The 17,923-nt window shown below is 37.6% G+C and overlaps 1 protein-coding gene and 1 long non-coding RNA gene across 6 annotated transcripts in view, besides 1 other annotated feature; one reads left to right on the forward strand and one right to left on the reverse strand.

The window, feature by feature from the left end:
* The window catches only part of HIBADH (3-hydroxyisobutyrate dehydrogenase), a 137,442-nt gene that overhangs the window by 86,432 nt on the left and 33,087 nt on the right, over positions 1-17,923 (reverse strand). For all 4 annotated transcript variants that reach the window (NM_001430749.1, NM_152740.4, XM_047419834.1 and 1 more), the window contains one exon: positions 17,498-17,619. In NM_001430749.1, the coding sequence (NP_001417678.1) occupies positions 17,498-17,619 (122 nt within the window). The remainder of the gene's footprint in view (positions 1-17,497; positions 17,620-17,923) is intronic.
* On the forward strand, positions 4,101-15,619 carry TSL (testis-expressed, seven-twelve, leukemia). 2 transcript variants are annotated; one of them, NR_122122.1, is made up of 3 exons: positions 4,101-4,922; positions 5,596-5,815; positions 15,350-15,619. It is a non-coding gene; the product is annotated as a testis-expressed, seven-twelve, leukemia (long non-coding RNA). The 2 variants fall into 2 exon arrangements; NR_122123.1 differs by lacking the exon at positions 5,596-5,815.
* Positions 4,404-4,604: a silencer, noted in NCBI's record as "peak6451 fragment used in MPRA reporter construct". NCBI's record gives its function as "represses an SCP1 promoter by STARR-seq MPRAs in K562 erythroleukemia cells {active_cell/tissue: K562}" and the evidence as "EXISTENCE:reporter gene assay evidence [ECO:0000049][PMID:32103011]".

Raw genomic sequence — 17,923 nt, forward strand, 5'->3', positions numbered from 1 at the left:
CTCTTCTCTAAACCTTTTCATTCAAATTTCTGCTTAAATATCACTTCCCCAGAAAGGGCATCCCATCCACTATCCAAAAGAGCACTCTCAATACTTTCTATCTCCCAAACTGTTACTCTTCCTTTTTTTTTTCCTTCATAGCAATTATCACTGAAATTATTTTTATGTTAACTCTCTCTATTCCTCTATAAGTTTCAAGAGGCAAAGGACTTTGAGTATCTTTAAAGCCTTATCCCTAGTGCCTTCTTTGTATGAACTGGAAAATAAGGCAAGTCCCTTGTGGTGAAGATGCTGTCAGCATAATACAGAAGATGAGATTAAAGTGTATAATCAGAAACAAGTAGATAATCTTATAAGGACTATATAAATAATTTCAAGTACAAGATATTTTGTTGAAGAAAGAAATGCAGACCTTGATTTTTAAAGTTACATTCTCTTTTTCTTTTCCTTTTTTTTTTCTTTTTTTTTTTGAGAAAAGTCTTGCTCTTGTCCCCCAGGCTTGAGTGCAATGGCTCGATGTCGGCTCACTGCAGCCTCTGCCTCCCGGGTTCAAACGATTCTCCTGCTGCTGCCTCCCAAGTAGCTGGGATCAAGGTGACTGCCACCACGCCCAGATACTTTTTATTTTTTAGTAGAGACGGGGTTTCACCATGTTGGCCAGGCTGGTCTCGGACTCCTGACCTTAGGTGATCTGCTGCCTCGGCCTCCCAAAGTGCTGGGATTACAGGCATGAGCCACCGCGCCCAGCCTGTAATCTCTTTCTAAAAGTACCAGGCTCAGCCAGACACAGGGGCTCACACCTGTAATCCCAGCACTTTGGGAGGCCAACGCAGGAGGATCACTTGGGCCTAAGAGTTGGAGATCAGCCTGGGCAGCACAGCCAGACCCCATCACTACAAAAAAAATTTAAAAATTAGCTGGGCATGGTGGTGCATGCCTATAGTCCTAGATATTCCAGAGAATTCCTAGATATTCCAAGCAGAAGACTGCTTGAACCCAGGAGTTCAAGGATGCAGTAAGCTATTATTGCATCACTGCACTCCAGCCTGGATGACAGAGACCATCTCCAAAAAAATATATATATATTATTTATATATATATTATATATATATTTTATATATATAGGATATATATATCCAAAAATATATATATTATATTTACATAATATATAAATATATATAATATAATTTATATATATTACATATAAAAATTATATAAATTATAATTTATATATATTCATATAAATATATTTATATATATTTATATAAATATATTTTATATAAATATATATATTTATATAAATATATTTATATAAATATATATATTTATATTTATATTTATATATTTATCTTTCTGAAGCTGTCCTCCAGGTTATCTCCAGATTATTTAACTCTCTTTGAAGTGTAAGCTAAGTGCCTCTACATTTTGTTTTATATATATATATATAAAAGAATAAATTGAAAGAAGTTTCCCTGGATGGTAGAAAGAGCCTCGTTTAGATAGATAGACAGATAAAGCACAACAACAAAAAAATAAAGGTGGTAGGAGAATTATATGAACTAATTCCCTTTCTTCTTTATTTAAAGAATATGTACTAAGGAACTGTCAAATCTAATTCCAAATTCCACTGGTTCCCCCCAGGTTGTTGCTGGGAAGAAATTTTAAGAAATTTCCAGTTGATCTTTAACAGAAACTTTCCATTTCCAGAACTAAAAGTCCTTCTGTTGGCCTGGAATCAGCTGTATAGATTAAATCTAGTGGGGTTTTTTGTTGTTGTTGTGGGTTTTTTTTGTTTTTTTTTTTTGAGACAGGTCTCACTCTGTCACCCAGGCTGGAGTGCAGTGGCACAATCTCAGCTCACTGCAACCTCCACCTTCCAGGTTCAAGTGAATCTTCCATCTCAGCCTCCCGAGTAGCTGGGACTACAGGTACACGCCACCATGCCCGGCTAATTTTCGTATTTTTTGGTAGAGACAGGGTTTCACCATGTTGGCCAGGCTGGTCTCAAACTCCTGGGCCCCAGTGATTTGCCCACCTTGGCCTCCCAAAGTGCTGGGATTACAGGCGTAAGTCACTGCTCCCGGCCTAAATCTAGTGTTATTCTCTCTTTAAATATCCAGAAAGCTGACTATGAGATAAAAGTGTAAATAATAAAAGTCAACCGAGATGGGATGAGGACTGTTTCTTTATAGTGCCTAGAATGCTGTTAGAGATTAAACTGGTAATGAGGAGTTCCATTTCTGCTTGTTAAATACTTCTGTAACTATTTGCAAGTATTAGTATGTTTTTCTAAATTCTAAACTTTTAATGTAAGAACTTCCTCTTTAAGTTGTTCTGAGTATTTCTCTCTTATCTCATCCCCACTAAATTGATCATAATCACACTCGCCACAATGGCACCTAATATTACAATACAACATTTTAAACATAGTATATGCCTGCTACCTGACTGATAACAAAATGTAGAGGCAGTTAGCTTACACTTCACAGAGAGGTAAATAATCTGGAGATAACCTGGAGGACAGCTTCAGAAAGATGAATAACCGCAAGAAGGCTCAAAATATTTAACATCAGTCTTGAATTTTAAAGAAGAAAAGATTCTTGATTCAACCAACCATACTTTATTGTCTACAAGGAGATATACATTGGAGATATAAAATTAAATAAGACATGGTGTCTGCCCTCTTCAGTCTAGTAGAAGAGACAGGCACAAACATAAGCATAACACAGTTGTCCTTGCAATAGCATGGATTTCATACTATCATTGTTGCTATATAAAAATCCTCTCATCCCTTTGCTTTCAACTATAATTCTGTTCAATTCACAAATCCTTATATCTAAAAACAGATCTTATCCCATTAAACTAAAACATGTTAAAGATATGTCAAGGTATCACTTTACTTTTCTTTCTCTGGAGGCTTATTTGATGAAACAGCACTAGTCAGGTGGATCTCAATCAGGAAAGACCCCAAAAACTGGTTCCATCCCAATCCATCCACAGAACAAATGCCCCTTAGAGCCAGTTAACAAACATTCCAGGATGGACCTAACCTAATAGGACTGATCTGATCTCTCCTGAGTTCTCCAGATTCAAGAATAGTGGCTTCTCAATGATTCTTCTCGTGTGAATCTAAAACAGAAATGTTAAGCCTCTAATCTTAACAGAAATGTTAAGATTATAAAATAGCCTCTGAGGACTAGGAAATATGGCGATTCCCTGTTTTTACTACATGCCAGTGCCTATCAGCTAGCAACATAGGAGATAGGGAAGCAGTTGCCGGGGTAAATAAAATGGATACAAATGGAGTTATGAGAATCCCTTCTGATAACTATGACTGCTATGAAGAAGACAGGAGGCCACCAAGGAACGAGACTGAAGGGAGGAAGGTGTGACATAGTGTGGGAAGAACATTAGATTTAGCTGGAAAACTGATTCTAGTCCTAGAGTTGCTAACAACCTAGAGAACCCTGGGCAAGTCACTTATCCTCTTTGAACCTCGATTTTTCCATCTATAAAATGTTAATAGAGTTAAATTAAATTATTAGTAAGGTCCTTTCTAATAATAAAACTGAAGTCTAGGAGCACAAGAGACGTTTAACAGCTAGACATACTACCGCCATGCACTGCATAATGACATTTCAGTCAATGACAGGCTGCATATACAACACTGGTCCCATGAGATCATCACGGAACTGAAAAATTCCAGTCACCTAGTAATGTCACAGCACAATGCATTATTCATGTTTGTGGTGATGCTGGTATAAACAAACCTACTGCACTGCTAGTCAAATAAAAGTGTAGCACACAACAATTATGTACAGCACATAATACTTGCTAATGAAAATAAAACAACTCCGCTACTAGTTTATGGATTTACTATATTTTTAGAGTAAATAGAGTATAATCCTTCTATTGATAAAGAAAAGTAAGCTATAAAAAAACCCCAGGCAGGTCCTTCAGGAGGTATTCCAGAAGAAAGCATTGTTATCTTAAGACATTATGGCTCCATGCCTGTTAATTGCCCCTGAAGACCTTTCCAGTGAGACAAGATGTAGAAGTGAAAGACAGTGTGTCTAAATGGACTACCATTTAGTGTTGCTATAAAGGAATACCCAAGGCTGGATAATTTATAAAGAATAGAGGTTTATTTGGCTCGCAGTTCTGCAAGCTACACAAGAAGCATGGCACTAGCACCAATGCATTTTCTGAGGGCCTCAGGCTGCTTCCTCTCACGGCAGAAAGTGAAGGGGAGCCAGCACGTGCAGAGATCACAGGGCAAAAGAGGAAGCAAGAGAAAGAAGGGGAAGGGGCCAGACTCATTTTAACAACCAGATATTGTGGGAATTAAGACTGAGAATTCACTCACTCCTCACCTCCAAGGAATAGCATTAATCTATTCACGAGGGATCTACCTCCATGGCCCAAATACTTCCCATGAGGCCTCTCCTCCAACACTGGGGATCAAATTTCAACATGAGGTCTGGAGGGCTCATATATCCAAACCACACAGCACAGTAATATCAAATGAGTGAATGTGAAGGCTTAGGAAAGGCCCAGGCTAATGTGTGTGATCATGTCTTCGTTGTTTTTTTTGTTTGTTTGTTTTTTAATATAGGGTTTTTCTGTCGCCTAGGCTGTAGTGCAGTGGTGCCATCACGACTCACTGCACCCTCAATCTTCCAGGCTCAATCGACTCTCCCACCTCAGCCTCCTAAGTAGATGGGACTACAGGTGCACACCACCATGCCCAACTGATTTTTCTATTTTTTGCAGAGAAGGAGTCTTGCCATATTACCCAGGCTGGTCTTGAACTTCCGGGCTCAAGTGATGTGCTCGCCTTGGCCTCCCAAAGTGCTGGAATTACAGGCATGAGCCACTGCGCCCAGCCCCCATGTCTTCCTTTTTTAGAAAAGAGTTAAAAGGTAAAAAAAAAAAAATTTTTAATTAATAGAAAAAAAGCTTATAAAATAAGAATATCAGGAAAAAATATTTTTGTACAGCTGTATAATGTGTTGCTGTTTCGAGTATTATTACAAGAGTCAGAAAGTTTTTTAGAAATTTAAGTTTGTAAAGTAAAAATGTTACAGTAAGCTGAAGTTGATTTATTATTGAAGAAAAATATTTTTTATAAGTTTAGTGTACCCTAAGAATACAGTGTTTATCAAGTCTACAGCAGTGTACAGTAATGTCCTGGGCCTTCACATTCACTCACCGACTCATCCAGAGCAATTTCCAGACTCACAAGCTCCATTTATGGTAAGTGGCCCTATACAGGTGTGCCATTTTTTATCTTTTATATTGTATTTAATATTGTACCTTTTCTAGGTTTAGATATGTTTAGAAACACAAATACTTACCATTGTGTTACAACTGCCTACAGTATTCAGTATAGTAACATGTTGTATAGGTTTATAGCCTAGGAGCAATAGACTATGGCAATATAGCCTAGATTCAGGTTTGTGTAAGTACACTCTATGATGTTAGAACAATGACGCAATTGCTTAACATTAAGTGACACAACACTGCATTTGATCTCAGCAGTCCTAACACTATAACAACTTATATTAAATTTTCACCAACTTGGTCAAAACTCAGTTACCTGGTTGAAAATGGCTGACGACAGATACCAGACAGCCACCCTCTCCAGAAAGAAGAGCCAAAATTAGGAATAAAAATACCTCAAATAGAAGAGAACACTAGAGTCCAAGGGTGAATTCACAGCAAACACCAGAGGCATAGAAAGAGAAGAAAGGAAGCAGCCAGCTTAACCAAGATCAACCAAGAGCCCCGAGGGACTCCCTATTACAGGAAAACGGTAAGTAAAAGAGCTTCAGCAGTCCACGTCTCTGCAATGGACTGTTGCGATATGAACCACAAGAGAGCTCCTCTACTTACATGAACCCTGACACTAGCGCAGGTGGAGATCTGGAAACCCTGCAAGGGCAGGCACTGCACCAGACAGGAAACTCATCCTGGGTCATTCACCATCCCCCAAGACCTGAATGGCTGTGGTGGCACAGCACTGGCTGGGTCCAAAGTGCTTTAACCCACAGGGTATACTACTCCCCAGGAAAAAAATGGTGCAGTGCGCTGAAAGGCAGTACCTGGGACAAAGGAAACTGAAGCACACTCTACAGTGTCTGAGAGCTCCCTGTCTGGGGCTGTGAGAAATGACTCCAAGCCCAGCAATTCACAAACCCTGTGCTTGGCTTTGCAAAGGAAGAGTGAACTCTTCTCCTACTGGTGGAGCAGCCTCTGTGATCAAGCTCTCACACAGAGCATGGTACCCTTCCCCCTGCTCTGTACACTTGCTCCTGCTATCACCGGAGGCTGGGCCAGGCAAGCTGGAGGGCTACCTATCCGGGGCAGAGAGTGGTGACTGAAATCCCACTGGCAGCATGGCCTCCATGCTAAGGCTCACATGCAAAGGCAGGGCCCATACACCACTCTGTATAGCATGGCAGCATTGCTGCTATAGACGGCAGAAAAGCCTGGTAGCAACATGTCTGGGGCTGTTGGGGGTGACCCTGTATTGCAGCCACAACCAGTATCGCAGCCACCACCATCACCAGCCCACGCAGATAGGGACCCAGAAGGTAATCAAACCACCACTATTGCCATTGCCCATACCACTCCAGCTGACCAGTGACATAAGAACCTGCTCACCTACCCAGCCCCCGCTGCCACTACTGGCATTGGAGTAAGCCATGTGAAAGCCCAAGAATTGGTCCACTGGTAACCACTGACACAGGTGCCAGCATGTATGAGGCTGTTCTTGCATTGCTATAAAGAAATACCTGAGGCTGGGTATTATAAATAAAAGAAGTTAATTGGCTTTTGGATCTGCAGGTTGTCAGGAAGCATGGCATCAGCATCTGCACAGCTTTTGGATAACCCTCAGGGAGCTTTTTCTCATAGTGGAAGGCAAAGGCGGAGTGGGCATATTACATGGCCAGAGTGGGAGCAAGAGAGAAGGGGGAAGGTGCCACACACTTTTAAACAAGCAGGTCTCCTGAGTAGTTACTCATTATTGCAAGGACAGCACCAAGGGGATGGTGTTAAACTTTCATAAGAAATCTGCCCCCGTGACCTCCCACCAGGCTTCACCTCCAACACTGGGGATTACATATCAACATGAGACTTGGGGAGACAAATATCCAAACTGTATCAATTGCCCTGGGGAACAAAGCATGCACAGCCCACTGCTGCCACCACTAGGGCCTGAACACTGGCCTACCTGGCTTCCCAGTCCACACCACAACTTCACCACAGCTTCCACTAATAACTTCACCCTAACCCTCCAAGGAAATAACAGATACCAGAAAAGCTATTTACAGCCAAGGAAACCATGCAGTGACTATAATACTGCATGCAACCGTAATCAAAGCCAAAGAGCCCTGCTCAATCATGAAACCACAGATACACCTTTAAGAAAAAGTCTTCCCCTATAAAAAGTAAATTCAAAAATAGGAGGAAGAGACTGTTACACCAGATGCACAGATATCAACATGAGGACACAGGAAACATGAAAAAGCAAGGAAATATGACATCTCCAAAGGAATACAACAATTCTACAACAATATATTTTAATTTTTAAAAATCTTCAAAATTCCAGATAATACATTTAAAATATTGATTTTAAAGAAGCTCAGTGAAAAACAGATTAATTCCAAAACACAATGCAAACAAATCAGAATAACAATTAAGGATATGAATGTGAAATTTACCGAAGAGATAGATATCTTTAAGAAGCAACAAGTAGAAACTCTGGAACTAAAGAACTTATTGGAGGAAATATAAAATACATTAGAAAGCTTCAACAATAAACTACACAAGGAGAAGATAAAAAGCTCAGAACTTGAAGATAGATTTTTTGAAATAATGCAGTCAGACAAAAATAAAGAATTAAAAAGAATGAGTAAAGCATTCATGACATTTGGGACAACATACAGTGACCAAATATACAAATCATCAGTATCTCCAAACCCACAGAGAAAGTGAAAAGATCAGAAAATCTATTTAATGAAAGAATAGGTGAAAACTTCCTAAGTCTAGCAAGAGATTTAAATATTCAGATACAGGAGGTTCACCAATTCCCAGAAAGATACAATGCTAAAAGATCTTCTTCACTACACATTTTAATCAGACTGTCTAAAGTCGAATCCAGCAGGATATGGTAGCTCACTCCTGTAATCCCAACACTTTAGGAAGCCAAGGTGGAGGAGCGCTTGAGCCCAGGAGTTTGAGATCAGCCTGGGCAATATACTGAGATTCCATCACTACAAAACTTTTAAATTAGCTGGGCATTGTGATGCGTACCTGTGGTCCCAGCTACTCAGGAGGTTGGGGTTGGGGGGAATCGCTTGAACCCAGGAGTTCAAGGGTGCAGTGAACTTTGATCACACCACTGCACTCCAGCCTGGGCAACAGACTGAGACCTTGTTTCTAATAAACAAATAAATAAAGTCTAAGCTAAACAGCAAGACAAAAGCATCTGGTCACCTATAAAGGGACCCCCATAAGACTAACAGAAGATTTATCGGCAGAAACTTTATAGACCAGAAGAGAATAGGATGATATATTCAAAGTGCTGACAGGAAAAACAACAACAACAACAAAAACAAACCAAAACAAAACAAAAAAAAAACCCTGGCAGCCAAGAATACTGTATCCAACAAAATTACTGTTCACAAATGAAGAAGAAATAAAGTCTTCTCTAGAGAAGCAAATGCTCAAGGAATTCATTACCACTAGCCCAGCCCTACAAGAAATAATCAAGGGAGTCCTAAACCTGGAAGCAAAAAGACATTTACCATCATGAAAACACATGAAAGTATAAAACTCACCAGCAAAGCAATCACACAAAGAAAAAAGGACTCAAATGGTACCAATACAGAAATCCACCATGCCATAATGACTAACAATGAGAGAAAAGGAAAGAAACAAAATATATAACACCATCAGAAAATAATTAACAATATGACAGGGACAAAGCCTTGCATATCAATAATAACCTTGATAGTAACTAAACAGATTAAATTATCCTCTTAAAAGATACATAAAGGTTGAATGGATTTAAAAAAAAAAACAATCCAACTGCTTACAAGAAACTCACCTCACTAATAAGGACACATACACAGCTAAAGTAAAAGAATGGAAAAAGATATTCCATGCAAACAGAAACCAATAGCAAGCAAGAATCGTTATACTTACATCAAACAGACTTTAAATAAAGAACAATAAAAAGACAATCATTAATTGTAGGGCATTAAATAATGAAAAAGGAATCAATCCAGCAAGATGATATAACAATTCCAAATATATATGCACCCAACACTGGAGCACCCAGATTCATAAAACAAATATTACTAGATCTGAAAGAGAGATCCAATAATAGTTGGGGGCTTCAACACCCAATTCTCAATGTTAAACAGATCACCTAGACAGGAAGTCAAGAAAAAAACGTTGAATTTAAACTGGAGTTTACACAAAATGGACCTAACAGACATTTACAGCACATTTTATCCAACAGTTGCAGAATATACATTTTTTCCATCAGTATATGGAACATTCTCCAGAATAGACCTTTTATTAGGCCACAAAATAAGTCTGAATAACTTTTAAAAAACTGAAAACAGCCAGGCGCAGTGGCTCACACCTGTAATCCCAGCACCTTGGGAGGCCAAGGCAGGCAGATCACTTGAGGTCAGCGGTTTGAGACCAGCCTGACCAACACAGTGAAACCCCGTCTTTACTAAAAATACAAAAATGAGCCAGGTGTGGCAGCACAAGCCTGTAAACCCAGCTACTCAGGAGGCTGAGGCAGAAGAATCGCTTGAACCTGGGATGTGGAGGTTGCAGTGAGCCGGGATGGCACCACTGCATTACAGCCTGGGTGACAAAGCGAGACTCGATCTCAAACAAACAAAAAACTGAAAACCTGTTAAGTATCTCTTCGCGCCACAATAAAATATAACTAAAATTAATACAAAGAAGAATTCTACAAATACACGGGTGGGGTGGCGGGGAAACATGCTCCTGAATGACCACTGTGGTTGACTAAGAAATTAAGATGAAAATAAAGGCTGGGCACCATGACTCATGGCTGTAATCCCAGCACTTTGGGAGGCCAGCACTTTGGGAGGCCAAGGTAGGAGGATCACTTGAGCCCAGGAGTTCAAGACTAGACTGGGAAAACAGTGAGAATCCATCTCTACAAAAATTAGACAGGTGTGGTGGTACACACCTGTAGTCCCAGCTATTCGAGAGCCTGAGGCTGGAGGACCCCTTGTGTCCAGGAGGTTGAGGCTGCAGTGAGCTGTGATTGCACCACTGCACTCCAGCCTGGATGACAAGGCAAGAGCCTATTTTTTTTTAAAAAAGTTAAAAATAAGAAAACATGGAAATTAAAAAAATTTATTGGAACAAATGAAAACAGAAACACAACATACCAAAACCTCTGGGATACAGCAAAAGCAGTACTAAGAGAGAAGTTTATAGCAATAAATGCCCAAAGATCATAACATAACATAAAATGAACAGGAGAAAATAAATAATAAAGATCAGAGCAGAGCTAGATGAAATAGAGACTTAAAAATACAAAGGATCAACAAAACAAAAATTTGGCTCTTCAAAAAGATAAATAAAATTGATAAACCATTGGCTAGTTTAACCAGGAAAAGAAGAGAGAAGCCTCAAATAAAATCAAATGAAAAATGACACATTACAACTGATACCATAGAAATACAAAAGATCATCAGAGACTATTATGAACTACTATACGCTTAAAAAGCAGGAAAACCTACAGGAAATGAAAAATTTCTAGAAACATACGACCTACCAAGATTGAATCAGAAAGAAATAGAAAACCTGAACTGACATTATAGGTAGCAAGATGGAAAGAATAATAAAACATCTTTCAACATGGAAAAGTCCAGGACCAGACAAACTGACAGCTGAGTTCTACCAAACTAATACTAATCTTTTTGAAACTATTCCCAAAAACTGAAATGGGGAGAATTCTCCCTAACTCATTCTATGAAGCTGGAATCACCCTGATCCCAAAATCAGACAAGGACACAACAAAAAAAGAAAACTACAGGCCTATATACCTGATGAACACAGGTGCAAAAATTCTCAACAAAATACTAGCAAACAGAATCCAGTAGCATATCAAAAAGATAATACAACACGATCAAGTGAGATTTACACCAGGGATATAAGGATGGTTCTATGCAAATCAACAAATGTGATACATCACAACAGAATGAAGGACAAAAACCGTATGATCATCTCAATAGACACAGGAAGCGTATTTGATAAAATTCCACATCCCTTCATAATAATCCTCAACAAACTAGGCATAGAAGGAACATACCTCAAAATAATAAAGGCCATATACAACACACTCACAGCTAACATCATATGGAATGGGGGAAAGTTGAAAGCTTTTTCTCTAAGAACTGAAACAAGACAAAGATACCCACTTTCACCACTCCTATTTAACATAGTGCTGAAAGTCCTAGCCAGAGCAGTCAGGAAAGAGAAAGAAATAAAAGTCATCAAAATCGGAATAAAGGAAGTTAAACTGTCCCTTTTTGCTGATGATATGATCTTACACCTAGAAAAACCTAAAACTCAACCCAGAAGTCTTAGATTTGATAAATAAATTCAGTAAAGTTATAGGATACAAAATCAACACACAAAAATCAGTAGCATTTCTATAAACCAAGAGTGATCTAGCCGAGAAGAACATCAAGAAAGCAATCCCACTTATAATTGCTATGAAAAATAAAAGTATCTAAGAATAAATTTAACAAGGTGAAAGATCTCTACAAGAAAAACTACAAAACACTGATGAAAGAAATTGAAGATGACATAACCAAATGGAAAAACATGACATGCTCATAGATCACAAGAATTAATATTGTTTTTTGTTTTTTGAGACAAGGTCTCACTCTGTCACCCAGGCTGGAGTGCAATGGTGCGATCTCAGCTCACTGCAACCTCTACCTCCCGAGCTCAAGTGATTCTCCCGCCTCAGCCTACCAAGTAGCTGGGACAACAGGCGCATGCCACCGTGGCCAGCCAAATTTTTGTATTTTTAGTAGAGACAGGTTTCACATTGTTGCCCAGGTTGGTGTCGAATGCCTGAGCTCAGGTGATCCACCTGCCTTGGCTTCCCAAAGTGCTGGGATTACAAGCATAAGCCACCGCATGCCCGGCCAAATTAATATTGTTAAAATGACCATATTGCCAACAGCAATCTAAATATTCAATGCAATCTCTACCAAATTACCAAGTTATTTTTCACAATATCAGAAAAAAAAAAATCCTAAAATTTGTACGGACCAGAAAAGAGCCCGATTATTCAAATCAATCCTCAGCAACAAGAACAAGGCTAGAGATGCCACATTACCTGACTTCAAAACATATTCCAAGGCTATAGTAATGTTAAAGCTGGCCTTCATATCAAAACCGCATTACAATAATTCTCCTTCAGAAAGAGTTTATAACACTTGTACTAAATAAGCACAGGTAGCACACTGATAATACAAGCAACATTAAATACTTCTATATAATTATGGAAATATCAACTTTATTGGCTGCATCAGTTATTTACTGCTACATATAACACCCACCCCCAAATTTAGTGGCCTTACTTGTTCACAATTCTGTAGGTAAGCACTTTAGATTGGGTCTAGCTGGAATGTTCATCTGCTGCTTAGCCCTAAGGTCACTAATTCTTCCATTTAGCAATCTTTATTTCCCTCTTGAAATATATGAGAACTCTAGAAAATATTATTTCCTAATACAGTAGAATATGCATTAAAGAACCATCATATCAGTCCTTCAATTCTGCCCCTGATCAACAGTATGGTCTTGAGGTAAGTTATCTAATATCTCTTGGTGTTACTTCCACCCTTGGTAAAATGGGAGTATCACTGCTTATCCTGTCTATTTCACATGGTTGTTTTTCCAGTTGAAGTCAACTCAAGTTTTTAAACATTTAGTGAAGACCAACCATGTTCTAAGCATTACACTGGAAAAACAGAGACTAAAAAGACACCTTTCCATGGTGTGTAAGAATGCGAATATTTTTTTAACTTGGAAATAATCCAAATGTATATCACAATAGAAAGAAAAAATAGTGATGTATTTATATAGAACAATACCACAGAGCAGTTAAAATGAAAGAACTGCACGTAACAACCACATAATGGCAATACATTTTATGTACTGCACATGGGCATCTAGCCAAATGGGTGAGCAGGGGCTGACATTTAATCTACATTCAATGTGTCAAACCGCAAACCCTGACATAAGGCTACACGTGTCTACAGAAAGGCATACCTTTTTCTTTATACAAAGGTTCGTTCTGCTCACCTGAAGGGCTATTTTGGTATAGAGAGGTGCCCTTTCTAATTCTCACACAGGTACCAAGTAAGCCAGTGGCTCTAGTAACACCAGGGTTGAAACTCAGAAATACAGTGTAAAGTGAAAAAGCAAGTCACAGAATATGCTCATTATGGAACATTTCTATAATGTTCCAAAGGTGGAAAATAAACTACTGTTTAGAAATAAAAACATATGGAGTTAAACTTAAAAAAAAAAGCATGGGAATGAGACATAAAATTCAGGATGCTGGTTACCTCTCATCAGAGAGAAAAGAAAATAGGATCAGGGAAACAAGAACTTCAAAGGTAATAAATAGCAAGGCTCTAGTTCTTAAACTGAGTAGGGGGTACGTATTAGTTCAATGTATACTTACACTTTATACCGCACATATATTTTATAAATATGTTGCACATATATTCAATATTTAATTTTAAAAATTGGGGAAAAAAACTTACTCCCTGCACTAAAAAAGCTTAAACTCAAGAGGAAGAGAATCATAGCCTATAAATATAGCGTGATGTGGGCTCTGATAAAGATGTACACTTTAAGGCCAGGCATGGTGGCTCACGCCTGTATTCCCAGCACTTTGGGAGGCTAAGGAGGGCAGAACACCTAAGGTCAGGAGTTCAAGACCAAACTGGCCAACATGGTGAAACCCTGTCTCTACTAAAAATACAAAAATTAGCCAGGTGTGGTGGCAGGCGCCTGTAATCTCAGCTACTCGGGAGGCTGAGGCAGGGAGAACTGCTTGACCCTGGGAGGCAGAGGTTGCAGTGAGCCAAGATTGCACCACTGCACTCCAGCCTGGGTGACACAGTGAGACTCCGTCTCAGAAAAAAAAAAAAAAAAAAAAAAGATGTACAGTTTGACAGCTTCAAAAAGAAGCACCAACCCCATTTTACATGATGTGATTATTAGGCAGTGCATGCCAGTATCAAAACATTTCATCTACCCTTTAAGTATATACACCTATTATATACCCACAAAAATTAAAATTAAAACAAAAAGAAGCATCAAATAGGCTGAGGCATGCCAAAGTGCTTTATAAACTACTATCTATACTATAAAGTGATAACTACACAAATATTAAAGTGGTTCTTCACATTGGTTTCAGGATGATAAACATAACAGTTTAAGCATTACTTTCGATTTTTAAAAGAAGTCATATAGCACTTAAATACAATTGTATTCTTTCTAATAAGGATAATGTACACAGGAGCCATTACACAGTGGGTCTAATAAGTATCAAAATGAAACCTGAGGAAAACTTTCCATCTGTTATTCCATAGGCTAGAAAAATGATTAAGTAATAATTCTTACTTTACTCCCCAGAATAATACTTACCAGGAAGTAGGGGGAAACGCTTGACTGAAGAAACCAATTGCTTCTCAAAAATCATTACTATTTTAAATTCATCTGAGTTTTTTAAAAAAACTTCTCTTTAAAATACTAACCATAGGATAATAGAAGTATAGTATGTTCCCATTTACACTTTTAGAATACTACTCTATTTGTACGTACCTATATATAAATCCATGATGCATTTTTTAAAGTCTGGAATAGGAAATAGATGAAGACTTGGGAGAAAGGGATGGGGAGAAATTCTTCAAGTTTTGTTCAAATGATCTCAAAGATTCCATGTTTCAAGACTGATGAACACTGGACTTCTATAAAACTGTGGGCCCATTCTGGGTATCTAAGCCATGCTTTCCCCACATCCCTTTTGAAACCACCCTCACAGAGTTGATGGAGAACTACAAGCCAGGCTTTAGGCAGAATTATAGTCAGGCATTGACCAGGGTGCACTGGGGTACTTCAACCCACTTCCCTGTAGCTGGTAACTAACCAAGGGTCATGCGGCATGCTGACCACCTGCTCCCCCATTGTTCCTATACACAGAATCTCTGACACTGGACCTTTTTACCCAAGAATTGCTTATGGTGTTTTTCAGGTCCTGAATTCCAGCAGAATGGCTGAAGCCAACCAGTCTCAAGACCTCAACCAAGGAACCAACCAACTCTGCACAGGAATGCGGTTTCTTCATCTCCCTGTCCCAGGAATTCCCCCTTGCTTCTTGACCAATCAGCAATCCCCACATTTTAGCCCTACCTGTTCAGACCCTTTACAAGCTCCATCCCCAAACCCTGGAGGGAGGAGGATTTGAAGGTTCCTCTGTCTCATTTGACTGCCCTACAATTATTAAACTCTTTCTCTACTGCAACTCCCATTGTGTCTGCATACTGGTCTGTTATCATGCAACAAGCAATCAAACCTAGTGGTCCTATAACACTTTGGTTTAACTTTATTTAGTTAAAATACAGTAATTTTTAAACCAGCCTATTTTAAGTGGGAAGGTGGAACAGTTTGTAACATACCATGTTAAAAAATATAAACATAATAACAATAAGACCAATATAAATAAGCTGCTATTATATACTGGTTAACCTCATAATGATCATGTGTCAACCAATAAATTACCACAAATCATCCCTGCACAAAGCTTTTAATCTACTACATATGCAGGTTCAGGTGTATTCAGTTATGTTAGCATTTTTGTACACTAAAACAACAAACCAAAGTTTAAAAATTGCTTGATAAGAACAAAAGAGTAATTTCAAAGTTTTCTCATAAGATTATATTTTAAAGGTTAAAATAATGTTTAAAAATCAAATTGGTATTTTTTATTATCAGATTATAATTTCAGGTTGTACTCTTGAGACCAAAGAAAATCAATCAATGGCAAGAACATTTGTACCATACCAATTTTCAAATTCAACTGCAGAACCACTCTAAGAAAGATCTGTTCAGTTTATTAATTCCATCCAATAAAAACCACATTAACGCCAACCTTAAAACTGCTTATTAGTATTTTGTAGGTACTTTTAATCAAAGTACCTATACCACATCATAAATTTTTATACCTAAATCCTATTTAAGTAATTCAATATAACAATCAGAAGAGCCAGCAATTATTTATTCCTCCACCTATATTCAAAAATCATTTGGGATATAAGGTACCTCTACAAGATCATTAAGTTCTTTATAAAAAAATACGAAATGATTTAAATTATTATATGTTACTTTTTAATTCTAAAGCCCACAATCAAGTTTAATGTAACTGGAATAAAATTCATATTCTGCTGTCTACTGCTATACTGCTACAAATACATAATATAAATGTGTACACAGTAATTCTGATTACACAGTAATTTTGGAAAACTTGGAAATTACAGAGAAGCCATACTATAATCCTGCCATTCCAAACTACCCAGATACCTGCTATTAATGTATGAGTTAATAGTAAATTTTTAGCATTTCATTAGTGGGTCTTTTCTTCTAATTGAGACAATCATATGACTTTTAACCATGTTAACATGGTAAATTATATGCACAGATTTTCTAAAATTAAGCCATCTCAGCATACATGGGCTAAAGGAAACTTGGTTATAGTGTTTAATCTCATTCATACATGGTTGGATTCAGTTTGCTAATATAAAGTTTTTACATCTACATTCATGACTAAAATAAACCTATATTTATTTTTTCTCTTTTATAACATTTCTATCTGGTGTAAATATCAGAGTTATAAAGGTCTTACAGAATGAATTGGGAAGTATTTCCTCTTTTCCTGTTCTCTGGAAAAGTTCGTATAAAATTTAGATGATCTGCTCCTTGAAATTTTGGTAATATTCATCTGTAAAATGATCTGAGCCAATGCTTCCCTTGTGAAACAATTGTTTTTCTTTTTTTCCCACTTGTTCAATTTCTTTAACAGTTACAGGATTATTTAAGCTGATTTTTTTTTCAATAGTTCCAAAAAAAATTTTCTAAAAACTGATGTATTCCTATCCACAGTAAATGGACCAAAAATTCACAACACTTCAAAGTTATGACACTTTTTTATCTGAATTTAAGACTAACAATGTTAGTTATTTAGACTTGAGAGTACTAAATAACGTATCAGTTTGGCTTTATTTTTAATGAGAATCCTGTAACAAGTCTAAAAATAACTACTACAAAACCATATGGTACAACAAAACCATAATTGCTACTTTTGACAAACATAAATAGGTTTGCATATATTTTAGCTACCACTTACCACCAGAAACAGGGGCATCCATGAAAACTGCTCCCATTTTCTCAACTTCTTTGGCCAATTCTTTTGAAACTGCAGGATCAATAGTGCTGGAATCTATTAATAATGAGCCCTTCTTCACTTTTCTAAGTAAATAAATAAAAATATTTGTAGTTTACAACTCTGAGTAAAAATTTCATGCAACTACCTACAGAATTAGAATCTGCTGAAAAGCTGCCATATATCAAGGAGGATTTTAGTTTAGTATTAAAAACATTATTAATTAGAACACGTTTAAAAATCTCATTCTTTTTGAGACCAATTGTACTTCAAAAGTAAACCCAAACTCTTTCAAAAGATCCAAAAAAAACCTAATAAAACCTAATATACTACATGGTATAAATTCTGATTTCAGATGAACTACACACTAACCATAATAATAAACATGAA

This window comes from Homo sapiens, chromosome 7 (genome assembly GCF_000001405.40).
Source record: "Homo sapiens chromosome 7, GRCh38.p14 Primary Assembly".
Classification (NCBI taxonomy): Eukaryota; Metazoa; Chordata; class Mammalia; order Primates; family Hominidae; genus Homo; species Homo sapiens.